Source organism: Homo sapiens, chromosome 12, assembly GCF_000001405.40.
Source record: "Homo sapiens chromosome 12, GRCh38.p14 Primary Assembly".
Taxonomy (NCBI): domain Eukaryota; kingdom Metazoa; phylum Chordata; class Mammalia; order Primates; family Hominidae; genus Homo; species Homo sapiens.
Window position 1 is genome coordinate 109,709,345 of NC_000012.12, and position 12,394 is coordinate 109,721,738.

At 57.6% G+C, this 12,394-nt stretch overlaps 1 protein-coding gene across 2 annotated transcripts in view, besides 3 other annotated features; it reads left to right on the plus strand.

Annotated features, from left to right (window-relative positions):
- Positions 2,943-3,506: an enhancer, noted in NCBI's record as "H3K27ac-H3K4me1 hESC enhancer chr12:110150092-110150655 (GRCh37/hg19 assembly coordinates)". NCBI's record gives its function as "activates a minimal SCP1, AML or CMV promoter by ChIP-STARR-seq in naive H9 embryonic stem cells {active_cell/tissue: H9 hESC(naive)}" and the evidence as "EXISTENCE:reporter gene assay evidence [ECO:0000049][PMID:30033119]".
- Positions 4,212-4,541: a silencer, noted in NCBI's record as "silent region_4842". NCBI's record gives its function as "represses an Ori minimal core promoter by ATAC-STARR-seq in GM12878 lymphoblastoid cells {active_cell/tissue: GM12878}" and the evidence as "EXISTENCE:reporter gene assay evidence [ECO:0000049][PMID:35858748]".
- The window catches only part of FAM222A (family with sequence similarity 222 member A), a 56,671-nt gene continuing 48,757 nt past the window's right edge, over positions 4,481-12,394 (plus strand). For both annotated transcript variants that reach the window (NM_032829.3, XM_024449229.2), the window contains exon 1: positions 4,481-5,553. The gene's annotated coding sequence lies outside the window, so the exon portion shown is untranslated. The remainder of the gene's footprint in view (positions 5,554-12,394) is intronic.
- Positions 4,572-4,621: a silencer, noted in NCBI's record as "silent region_4843". NCBI's record gives its function as "represses an Ori minimal core promoter by ATAC-STARR-seq in GM12878 lymphoblastoid cells {active_cell/tissue: GM12878}" and the evidence as "EXISTENCE:reporter gene assay evidence [ECO:0000049][PMID:35858748]".

A 12,394-nucleotide genomic window follows, 5' to 3' on the forward strand; every position in this document is an offset into this window, starting at 1 on the left:
TCGGTTCCTGAGGCCACTTGGACTTCTTCAGCCCTACACATAGCTCACCCCCTCCTCCTTGCCCCACTAGGCCTGCCCCAGAGAGAGACTCAGGTACTGGGGGGCGGGGCTGGGTGAATAACAAGGTTACATGTGTTTCTTCTTTCCCCGTTTCTCCAGGAGGAGCATAAAGAGCTCTTTCTTTTCTGCTTATTAATAGCTCTGATTAAATTATCTCTGAAAAACCTACGTGGCGTGCACCAATGGGGGCTGGGCTCCCTCCGGGCTCTGGCCTAGATCACAGCAATGAGGGCAGGTGAGGCAACTGGGGGTGGGGTGGGAGGCTGGAGCAGGCCTGCCCCCTCTGCCTGCATAAATGCCCCGTCTCTGCCTGCTCCCCTCTCCCCAGCCCCAGCTCAGCCTCTCACCCACCTCTGCTTTTGGGGCGTTCACATCTCCCTCACTTGGAACACTAGGCCTTTGCATTGGTTGTTCCCTCTTCCGGGGGCGCTCTTCCCTCACCTCTGCCCTTGGCTACCTCCTACCCATTTTTCCCAGGGTAGCTGACTTGCCTTTTTACCATCACTGGCCCTCCGCTGAGTCAGGTGCCTGCTTCGGACTGTCCCCTCTACTGGTACCCTGGATGACACCTGTTAGTTGCCTTCTCTGTGCCCCATGAAACCTGAGTTCCAAGAGGCCTATGTCTTGGTCTGAGTCACTGCTGAATTCCCAGTGTCAAGCACAGGGCAGGTACTTAGAAAATGTTGAATGAATGAGGGAATTAGCAGACTTAAAGGGGGAATGCTCAGGCTTCAGTGCGTGAGACCAGAGAAGGGCAAGGCAAAGATGGACCAGGTGGCTCACGTCTGTAATCCGAGTACTTTTGGAGGCCGAGGTGGGAGGATCACTTGAGCCCAGGAGTTTGAGACCATCCTGGGCAAAATAGCAAAAGCCCGTCTCTTCAACAAATTTAAAAATTAGTTGGGCATGGGGGCATGCACCTTGTAGTCCTAGCTACTCAGGAAGCTAAAGTGGGAGGATCACTTGAGCCCAGGAGTTCAAGGTTGCAGTGAACTATGATGGTGCCACTGCACTCCAGCCTGGTGACAGAGTGAGACTTTGTCTCTAAAAAACAAAAAAACAAAAAAACAGAGAAGAGCAAGACTAGCCTTACATACGTGGGAGGGTGGGAACAAAAGTTCCAGCCTCCAGGCCCCTTGAGTGATGCCTTGATTAATTGAAATGGCAATTAATCCCATTTCAAAGATGGGGGAAACTGAGGCACAGAGCGGCTGAGTCATATGGCTAGTAGCCCAGTCAGCCTGACTCTACTCCCTTCTCTTAATTCTCCTCCTCTACGTGAAAACAAAACAAAACAAAAACTTGGGCCACATTCATTCAGTGATTCAGAGATTAAGTCAACAGACCTTCATTGAGTGCTGACTCTATGTCAGGCCTGTGCTAGGGAATAAAATGAACTGAATGCAGCCTTTGCCCTGGAAAAGCCCTCAGGCCAGTGGGAAGCCTGACAAAGAAGTGGGCCATTATAACACACACTGGACACATCTGTGAAGGGGGAAGTGCTCCAGCCTGGAGCAGGGTAGTCAGGGAAGGCTTCCTGGAGGAGGCAGCACTTTGGCTGAACTCTGAAGGAGGAGCAAGAGTTAGCTACCTGGAGGGAGGGCATTCTAGGTAGAAGGAACAGCATAAGCAATGACCTGGAGGTGAGAGAGGCACGTGCAAGGATTTGTAGGTATTTCAGCAAGGTTGGTGTGTGGGAGGCAAACAAGAACAGTGAGAGATGAGATGCCCTCTGCCCCCTGCCCCCTCAGGGCCTGTCGGACCCCTGGCCAGAGCCAGTGTTCCGGGGCTGGCCTGCCTGGTGGTTTTATGGACCGTGGCAAATCCATCTTGACACTGTCTCCAATCACATAATGCAGTTATTGGAGTCGACCAAGAGCAAAGGCACGAGGGTCTGATCTCAGGGAGATGGGCATATGGGGTAGGGGGGCACTGGGAGTGTGGGGAGTGGGGCAGAGCATCTTACGGGGCATTCACCTGCCTGGAGGGGAGCGACAGGCATCTGGAAGGCTCTGACCTCTCCTGCTGGACAGCTGCCTTGGAGCCTGCTGCTGTCGGAAATTCCACCATGAGCACATCGTGGACTCATAGAACTTCAGAGATGGAGGGGTCTTTTGAGATCTTCTCGACCTGGGGTTGTCAGCCCTGGCTGTATCAGGAACCACATAGGAGCTTTGGAAACTGCTGTCCCACCAAGGAGAGTCTGATTGGTAGGGCTGGGGTTTGGGTCCTACCCTCCATTTCATGGCAGGGGAAACTGAGGTCCAGAGAAGAGAAGAAACTCCCCTCAAGGTTGCACACGGTCAGACAGTGGCTGCCACAAGGTGCAATAAATCAACGTCAGGGCTCTGGACTTTGGTTCTGTCATTTGTGTGACCTTGGGTAAGTCATGTGGCCTTCCTCTGCTGTAGGATGTGCATAGTGATCGTATATACCTTATAGGGTTTCTGCGAGGGTAAAAGGAGTTATGTGAGATAAATAGCAGTGAGCCCATGCCTGACACACAGTAGGTGTGAAGTCATGGTGACCTACAATGAAAAAAATCCCAAACTTTTGACAGGCTGTGGTGCGAACTGCTGCCTTCTTCTCCTCTTCGCGATCTCTCTCATTTCCCAGGGTTTGCTTGTTACTGTCCCTCGCCCTGTCCTCAGCTGAAGTCTGGTCTCCCCACCTGTCCACACGCTGGGTCCACCCATCCAGTCGCCCCGGCCGCCCTCCCTGACGTCCCCGCAGCCCTGGCTGCTGGCCCGAGCGGGAAGCAGCTGGAGGCATAACACATTTCCAGGTAAATCCCCACCCCCACCTTCAGCCTGGGGAGGGAAGGGGAGGAGATGGGGGCGGCCGCGGAGAAATAGAGCGGAGCTGCTGGGAACAGCGCGCCGAGCAGCCGCTTAGAGGCCTGAAACAGGGCCAGCTCCTGTCCTAGATAAGGCGGCGGGTGACCCACTTGGGCCGGCCCTGGAGGTCCGCCGCGGGCGCCTCTCCCGGCGGGGTGGGTTGGCTCCTGGAAGTAGGCTAGGGCCCGTCTATAATCAGCCCGTCCGCTGGATACGCTCCCCAGGGTCTCCAAAGCCCTCCAGCCCGGGTGAGTACAGAGGGCATTTATTGAGCACTTAATGTGTGTTTTGAGTCCTTTACATGCAAGAATTCATTTTGCCCTCAAATCTACGCTGTAAGGTAGGAATTATGATGCCCCCCATTTCACAGACAAGAAACTGAGGCGCAGACCCGTGAAGGTAAATGGCCAAGACCAACAACCAGCAAGGGCAGGGCTGCAATCCCACCCAGTTTCGGTGGGACTCCAGGTATCACACGGGCATAGCCTGAGGGGTGGGGGGTCTGACTGCTGCTCTGCATTTCTGTGGGGATCTTTGTTATTATCCCGGAAAGCTGGCTTCCTACAGTGCTGTGTGATGGACACACAGCAACTGAGGGAACTGCCCCACCCAGGACTCAATTTCCCCATCTGTAAATGAGACTGCTAGACGGGCCGCCCATGGGCTGTGAGAACCCAGGAAGCTTCTTTAAAAGTAAAAGGGAAAGCACAGTATAGTTTGATAGATTCATATTTGAACCCCAGGTTGATGTGAAACTATGCCTCAGTTTCCCTATCTATTAAGTGGGGGAGTAGGCTAGTGCCTGTCTCCTGTGGGCGTGGGGTACGTCTAGAAGGTGTAGCTTGCAAATTGCTCAGCGCTGTGCTGGGTTATATAGTTAGCGCTCCACAGATCACAACTGTGATGCCAAAAACACATCGCTGCCAAAAATAAGCCTTAGGACAAAAACATCCAGGACCATGTCACTTCACATCTCCTTACCTCAGTTTCCTCTGTAAGTTGGAAGTATAATAATAGTACCTACCGTATCAGTTTTCTCATCTGTAAAATGGGGGTGATAGTAATACCCACTCACACGGTGTTGTGAGGATTAGATAAAATACTTTGCTACATAAGTGTTAGCTATAGTTGTTATTTTTAACAAATTCCTCATGAGGTTGGTTTTTGCCAAGATTAAATGAAATAATGCCGATAATGCACTTATACAGTGCCTTGTCCCAAATATGTGATCAGTAAATGACACTGGTTTTGCCACCCCTAGTGGGACTACAAAAACCAGCACGCCCTGCGCCCCCAGTCGGGGCCCCTCCACCCGGCGCCGGCGCGCAGCATGCCGGGAGTTGCAGTCCTCGCGAGGCAAGTTCCGCCTCGTCCCTGCTTGGGGGAGGAGGTTGGAGAGCCGCCCTGCCGGCCTTTGAATTTTGCCGCGAAAAGCGCGCGTGGCGGCCCCCGGCTCCGCCCCTCGCAGGACGCGGTGCCGCGTCACCCTGGTAACCGCCTCTCAGCCGCCGCTGATTGGGCTGGGCCGCGGGGGGCGGGCGGGGGACGAGACGCGGGGGCTGCTGCCGGCGCTCGCGCCTGTCAGTCGGGCCAGAGCGGAGCAGCGGGCAGGACTGCCTGGCCGGCTGCTCCGCGGAGAGGCTGCGCGCGCCGGCCGGGGGAGGCGGACAGCCGGGCCCGGCGCCTGTGGGGCGCGGCGCGCGGCACCCGGGCCTGAGACCAGGCGAGGCGCCGGCGCGCGCCAGACGGCGCGAGGCTGCGGCCCCGGGAGCCCCCGCGCGCCGCCCGGGGCCATGGGCGCGTGAGAGCCCAGCGCGCGCGGCCCCTGCTGCGGCTTGCGAGCTCGCACACCCGGTGCACAGTCCCCCGGGCCGTCCTCGTGTCCGTCCTGCGCCACTGGGATCGGCTGTTTCTCAGCGCCGAGGCCCCCGAGGCTGCATCCGAGCTTGCGTCGCCCGCTGCCGCCGCCGCCGCCGCTGCCGCCGCCGCTGTTCGCCGGCTTCCCCTCCCCCCACACCCGGGGCTCAGAGCAGGAGGAGGAGGGGCCGGTGCATTCTCGCCGCTGTTCTTTGCAACCTGCAGGGGCCGGTGTATGTCCGGCGAGGAGCCGGGGCCGCTGCGGGTGCGTGCAACCCCCGAAGGAGACAATCCCTCCACCTCGGGGCGAACCCGGGGGCTGCAAGCCGCGGGCGGGCGGGCGAGCGAGAGGAAGCAACAAAGACAGGCTGCAGCTGGGGCTGGCGAAAGGGGCCGCGGCCGCCGGGCTCCCAGCGCGGGCGGAGAGGGCGCCCTGGGAGCGGCGCGGGCCGAGCTGCAGCCTTGAGCGGGGCCCCGAGGGGAGGCGCAGCGCCGCCCGCCGGACGTGGCGATCACGGGCCCCGGCGAAGATGCGTCGCCTGAGCGCCCGCGCGGCCCCCGTCCGGGGCGGGCGTGACCCCTGCTGAACGGAGACCTCCCCTCCCCCCCGACTTCGGACGGCGCAGGCCGGCGCCAGGATAGCCCTCACCGACAGCGCCCCTTCCCACCCGGAGAGAGGCATCGACCCCCAAGGAGGGCTTCGTCAGGCAGCCTCTGCCACTCCTGCATGGCTGCGACCCGTCGAGCGGAGCGTCGTGGTAGCTGAGACCTGGTGCCCTTCGACGGCCTGGCTGATCCGGTGAGTTGTGCGGGGCGGGGTTCTGCGCTGGAGCTGGGGGCACCCCCTGGCGTCCGGGCAGCCAGGATTGGACAGAAGGGGTCCTAGGCTGTTGGGGGTCCTGAAGCAGAGATAACCCTTGTCCGCCCCTTTCCTCCCTCCAAACACAACTTGTTCAGATGGGCCAGCCGATGGGAGTGGAGGTTGGGGGGCCCATTCGGATTCCGCGGGACCCTGGGCGGGTTGGTTGCCAGAGAGGAAAGGTCACCCCACCCGTAAAGCTAACAAAGGTATTGGCTGTGTCATCCGAAAATTCCCCGGGAACTCCAGTGTCTTGGAAGGGCTGGGGGGTGGGGGGCACCCAGGATGGGAAAACGTTGAGGGTCTCCCGAGCAGCCTCTGAGATCTTCAAGGGAAATCACCTCAGAGGGGGATTTGGGGTTCCAGAAACGCAGGTGGCCACGTTTGAGAATTGTGCCCCATGGGGCTAGACCTTAGAGCCCTCGTTCAAACCACGTTCCCACAAATAACTCGCAGGGACGGTAGGTTCCCCAGTGGGGGCACGACATGACGTCAAACCTTAGCCTCTGATGTCACTGGGGTTGCCGTGGCAACACCACTTGCCTTGACCCAAGGCCGGAGGGGGCGGGGTCGTGGTAACAAGGGGCGGGGCTGGATGCCTTTGGGTAGTGGAGGGGTGAAGGCGGACTCCCCCCACCCCTACCATTGCAGTCCTCTGACCTAAATCCTTAGCGCCCCATAAGGTGGGGGAGGGAGGCAGTGCCAGCTGTCCCTGTTGATGCTCCTCCCCGCAAGGACAGGTGTTCAGAGCTTTGCCCATGTAGCCTGGCCTGTGCCTCGGGGCTCAGGCCTCCCAGACAGAGCAACTTTCTGTTTTGAAAAGAGATGCTATAGAAGAGACCTCCCTGAACCCCACCATGTACCCAGCTGGCAGGCTGAAGTTCCCAGGGTCCCCAGAGAGATGTGGGCCTCCGGCCCTCCAATAGGCTACTTCTGCTGGGGAAAATGTGGGTGCCCCTCCCCCAGCCAAGGAAGGTGCAGAGGAGCTGCTGCCTGCTGCACCCCTAGTCCAGGGGCTCCCCATGCTGTTCTACCCCAAGGTCAGGGGCCTTGGCCAACCTGGAACTCCTGATTGCCCCCTGCTCCTTCTGGTGTTTAAGAGGATTTCAACGAGCATATTGTGAGGCTGCTTAAGTGAATGGCGGGCAAGTGAGGCCCATCAGTGCCAAGGTCTGAATAAACTGTGTCTCTGTCAGGGCACCCCCAACCAACACACACCCCAGTACTGGCACGCTTCCCTGCAAAGGCCCAGAGAACCCCCAGCAAGCATCCTGCTGCTGGCTCTGGGATTCGTCTAGGTCCCTTCCAGCAATTATTGCCAGTGTCGGGTGCTGGTGAAACTGCTGTGATCACATTTCTAGGAAAAGGTTCGAAAACTGTCATTGCCTCAGCAGCGTGGGGCGGGGTAAGAGCAGAGAAAGTGTGTGTTCGGGTCATTAGGAGAAGCCAGGCCCCAGTCTATGCAGCGAGCATTTTCCCTGCTCTTCTACCAAGCTCTCTAGCTAGATTAACAGGTCAATAAATATCGGTGGAGCTGCTTTTGGGGGCTTGGCAGGGAGATGGTATTTCCAGCTGAAATGGTGTCGTTAAACACACAAGCTTCCAAGGACAGAGGAGCAACAGCAGATTGGGGGAGAGCCGGGAGAGGTGGGCAGAAGGGCTGTTTGCGCTGCCTCTCGAAGCTTCCCAGTTTAGAAACAAACTCGGAGTGCGCGCCAGAGATTCACAAACACAGGCAGTTGGAGGCCCTCTGCCGAGTATTTACACTTCCACAGCCAAGGCAGAGGGAAAGGCTGTCAGAATTGGGCAATTCCTTCTGTTCCCTTCCCTCATCTCCCTGGGCTTGGCACTCAGCGTGCCAGACGATGAGCAGGAGGGAGTGCCAGCTTTCTCAGCATCTCCCTATATGCCAGGCGTTTTACATGATCTCAGTTACTCCTTGGAGTGGCTCATACGCTGTGGCCCATTTTATAGCTAATGAAACTGAGGCTTAAACAGAGGAAGTGATGGGCTACAGGTGATCAGCCAGGCAGCTGCAGAGGTTCGGTCCTGAATTGCCCTCCTGGCTCCAGAGTCCTTGTGTCTTACCACCTCCTCCCATGGGGTTTGGGGGACACTCCTACTTATTGGACAGGGGTCCCTGCAGGCATCAGAGGCTATCAGCCATGGAGGGGGAGTCTGGCCCCACCAAGATGCTTTGTCCACACCAAAAGGCAGATTTGAATCCTCTCTTCCTATGACCTACAGGTCAGCGTTGAGTAGATTAACAACTTCCGCCCGGCCTTGTGGTCTGTCTGGTCCCCTCACCCCCAGGACTCCTTTCTCCAGCACTAGGGGAAAGAAGGTGTAGCTTGAAACTCGCTCCTTGTCACCTGCCCTTCTGGGCTTGCTTGGAGGGAGGCGGTGAAGCTGCCCCTGGCCGCCCCAGGGACCTTCTTGGGATGTAGATGGAGCAAGGGCAAACTAGTAGATGAGGTTCCTGACCCAGCCTGAGGGTCAAAAAGCCCTAGAGGAGAGGTGGCACATGAGTCATGAAGAGGACAAATAGGAATGTGCCAGACAGGAGTGAGAAGACTGTTCTGGGTGGCCGGAGTGGCCCTGGAGCAGCCAGTGATGTGTGTGGGCCCTCGTGCCTGATGGGGAAAGGGGCAGCCGTGAGTGGCTGTGTCCTGGAGCCTTAGGTGGATAGGGAAGGTTTAAGCAGGGCAGAGGATCCATTGATCTCCTTTGACAAGGACAGTAACCCTGGACATCTCTTCCCGTAAGCGTGGAAGTGGCCACCTCGGTTCTGGGGGCAGTCTCCTCTCTTAAGGTTGGCCCCACCCCCACTAATCCTTCTCACTTATCTAATTCCTGTAAGCTCGTCCATCCCCTGTCCCTTCTGAGCCTTAGGGCTGCTCTGGACTAAACTGGGACTGGGCTGGACTGCTGAACCCCCTTGATGAGAAACTTGAGGCGCCCTGGTGATGGGCAGTGGCTCCTGATTAGGTGCCAGGCTCTGGCGTGGGTTGGGCCTGGATCGTACTCTCAGCCCGCCGCTTGCAGGCTGTGTGACCTCGGGTGAGTACCTTTGCCTCTCTGAGCCCCAGTTTACTCATCTGTGAGAAGGACCATAGCACTCACTGTGCAGGGTCTGGTGAGGATTCAGGGAGGGCCTAGCACAGCACACAGTATACAGTAAGCACTCAAACGCATGTTGTCATGGCTACTGTTACCTCCTCCTCAGAACGGAGCCTTGAATGACTCAGTCCCTTGGAGCCAAAGGTTGAAGACCCCATTTGCAGGGAGAGGCCCGAACTCTACCAGCTATCTCTGCCAGGGGCTTCTCTGTCCACTGAGGCCCCCACCCACCCACCCACATGGTGAGCACCGGTGGCTCTTTTCTGAGCTTCTGCGGGGGCTGGGACTTGGCCGGGGGTCCCTCCCCAACCTCCCTCCAGCCCCCTCTGCCTTCCCATCCCTCACAAACCGGAGGAAGGCAGCGAAGCAGCTCATATTCATGAACCGTAATTCAATCAGGCGGCGATTCCTCTGGGCTCGGGGCGGGGGTGAGAACGAGGAGGCGCGCACAAAAGGGCCGCTTTATTACCTCCCGCGGGCCGGGAATTGCTGCTCTCTCCCAGCAGCGGCCGGAGCCGCTTTATTGTGTTAACCCATTTGCGTGTCAAGAGCTATTGGGCGCTTTCTCTGCCTGTGCGTTGCGGGCCGCGGGAGGAGGGCTGCGGTGCCGGCCGGTCACCTCCGCGGGCGCCGCCCGCCGCCCTGATTGGTTGCTAAGTGATTTGCATCCAAGGTAATCACTTTTATCTCAGAAGGATGTCGACTATAATTATAAGCTACTGACATCTTTTGAAATCTGCCTAATGACTATTTTAGTCTGCACGGGCTGGGTGTAGGGAGGGAGATTCTGGAAAGGGTGGAGGCTGGGAAGAGGGATGGATTCCTTCCACCTGGACCCCTGATTGCTTAGTTGAGAAATATCTGAGTACCTACTGCATGCATCAAACAAAAGATGGGGTCTCTGTGATGGGGGGCTTGCATCCCTGTGGGCAGAGTTAGTGCCACTTCAGAGATGGGGAAACGGAGACCCTGGGGAAGGGGCGACCTGCCCAGACCACACAGCCAATGTGCAGCCACCATCTGGGTCTCTCTGACCCCAAATTCATGCCCTGACCACTCCAGTGGTCACAGTCAGGAATCATGTAATCATGCCTGGATACAGGTCACCAGACTAGTACCTTCCAGAGTTTACGTCATAACCCTAAGAAATGCACATGCTGGTACCACCCCCATTTTGCTGAGAAGCAGGGGCCCAGAGAAGGTATTATACTTTGCTGCCCGAGGTCACACAGCCAGGGAGTGGCAGAAGTATGAGGTTCATTGGCAGCCAGAGATGGGAAGGCAGAGGCGGGGTTCCAGCTTCCCACTCCTCTTCCCACCCACTCGTGGTTCCATTCGGTAAAACCAGGCTTTAGGTAAAGACTGAGCAAGGACACCCTGTCGCCCGTGTCCCAGTGGTCAAGTGATAAGAAATCAGATGGCCCACAGCCTCTAGAGGGAGTAAGATGAGTCTGCAGTTAACTGGAATTCTAGACAGGGCTGGAGCAGGGCTGGAGGAGGGAAAACCTGCAGCTGGTCCTGGAGGGCTTCCTGACAAAGCGGGCTGTGCTCTGTGCCCTGAGGACTGAGTGGCTCTCCCCAGCATGGAGTAAATGGGGGTGTCTCTGGCAGAGGGAGTTTGGAGACCCGGGAGCATGACCAGGAAGGGCAGGGGGAGCTTATAAGATGGTGGAGGTGAAAGGGAGATTAGGAGGGTGTGCAGGGGGCATCGGGTGCTGAGCTAAGGGTGCTGTGAGGCCCTGAGGAAGAGGGAAGCCAGTGAAAGCATCTGAGAGGCAGGGGCCAGCTAAGATCCCAGTGCCTTAGAGGCCAACAGAGAGCTTGGGAGTCGCAGACCTGGGCTGAAACCCGGTGAGAGAGAGCACCTGCACTCTCACTGGCTGTGTCCTCAGAGAAATTATTTTACCCCTCTGTGCCTCAGTTTCCTCTTGTTCAGGAGAGTCTCAACAGCTTTCTCATGGGCTTGTGGGTGGGGTGAGCTTGCATGTGCATAGTGCTTGCAGGGGGCTTAGCTGAGCCCCTCAGAGCTGGGTGGGCTGGGCTTGAATACAGGCCTGGGCCAGTCCTGGCCCCACAGCAAGCCAGCATCCCAGCCGCAGCAGCTGTTTGGGGCCCTGGGGGCCCCTGCTATTGTGCAGAGGGCACAGGGGACAAAGGCCTGGGAGGTCAGGGGGTGAGGCCGAGACTAGCTGTGAACAGGCTCCCGGGGATGGGGACTTAATGACGCAGAACTTAATGACCCAGAGTCTGTGGGGAGGGGGGCCTCCCTTGGAGGAGGAGGGAGGTCCAGCCACCAGCTGTCTGCTCCAGGATTCGCTGCCAGGGCACGGGCAGCTGCCTCACAGAGTCCAGGCCTGAGCTTGGCACTGGGGGAGGCAGAGGTGGCAGGGCCTCCTGGCATGAAATCCCCAGGCCTGAATGCAGGGCTTGGCCCTGCCCCTCGGCATCTGCAGATCTCCGTCTCTTCATCTGTGATGGGCCAAGGGACCACCTTAGAGGGCAGCTGTGAGGTTTGGCAGTAACCGATAGCCAATGGGCAGTAAACAGGAACTGCTATTTTTGCTCTTTATCCATCCGTTCATTCAGAGAGCTTCCCTGCTCCAGGCCAGGCTCCCTGCCAGATGCTGGGGACATGAAGATGAACAAGCCCCAGTTGCCTTGAAAGGTGGTGTGTACCTACCGAGGGAGAGGCCTCGAGTGCACCCCCTCAGCCACCCAACAAGTGCATGTGGGTTAATTGCCACAATGGAGGAATTCACAGTATGTGGGCACTGTGCCAGGGGCAGGGGGGCACAGCAGTGAACAAGCCAGACGTGGGCCCTGCCCTGGGCCACCACCAGTCTCTCAAAGGAAATCAGAGGTGGAAACAATTACTTCTGGCTGGAGTAGCCAGGGAGGGCTCCCTGGAGGAGGTGGCACTTGTAATTGAATACTTTTGCCTATTATGAGAATCACAGGACACTGGTATCTGCTGTGTGCCAGACTGAGTTTCCTACTTTGGCATTTTGTTCTCTCATTTAATCCTCATATCCCTCTCTGAAGGGTGTTTTTATCCCTGTCATGTGAATGAAGAAACTTAGCCTGATGATGTGAAGCAGCAGCCCTGGGCCACATGGCAGGCCCACAGAACCCCCTTCATTATCCACACAAGCTTTTGCCTCTTCACTGCCTGTAAGGGTACTGGGCATGGTAGGATCCTCGGGCAGGGGCCGAGGGGACGCTGTTCTGGGCCAGCTGTCTCCTTTATGAGCTTCACGACCTTCAGCAGGTCACCTTCCCCCACCCCTCCCAACCCAGACTCAGCCGCGTCCTTCATAAATGTCAAGGATGGCAAATCTGTGGCAGGCCTGGCTTGCCTTATGCCGCTGTGCCCTTGGCAGACATTGCCAATCAATTGCTGCCCTCTTTCCCTGCTGAGTTCTTCCCCTGACCTTGGGTTCCTTCCAGGGCTCTGGGCAGGCAGCGCCAATCAATCAGCAGGGCCTGTGAGCTGAAACCAGTTGCCTGCCTGGCCTCAATGAGCTCAGGGTGCCTCTGGCCCGTCTCCATGTGGCTCAGAGGACCAGGGGGGACAGCGAGGGATTCTAGGGGATCTCTGTGTATCCAGGTTGTTCTTAAGCCACAAAAGCCTTTTAGGTGGGAGGGTCTGTTACCCTCTTCT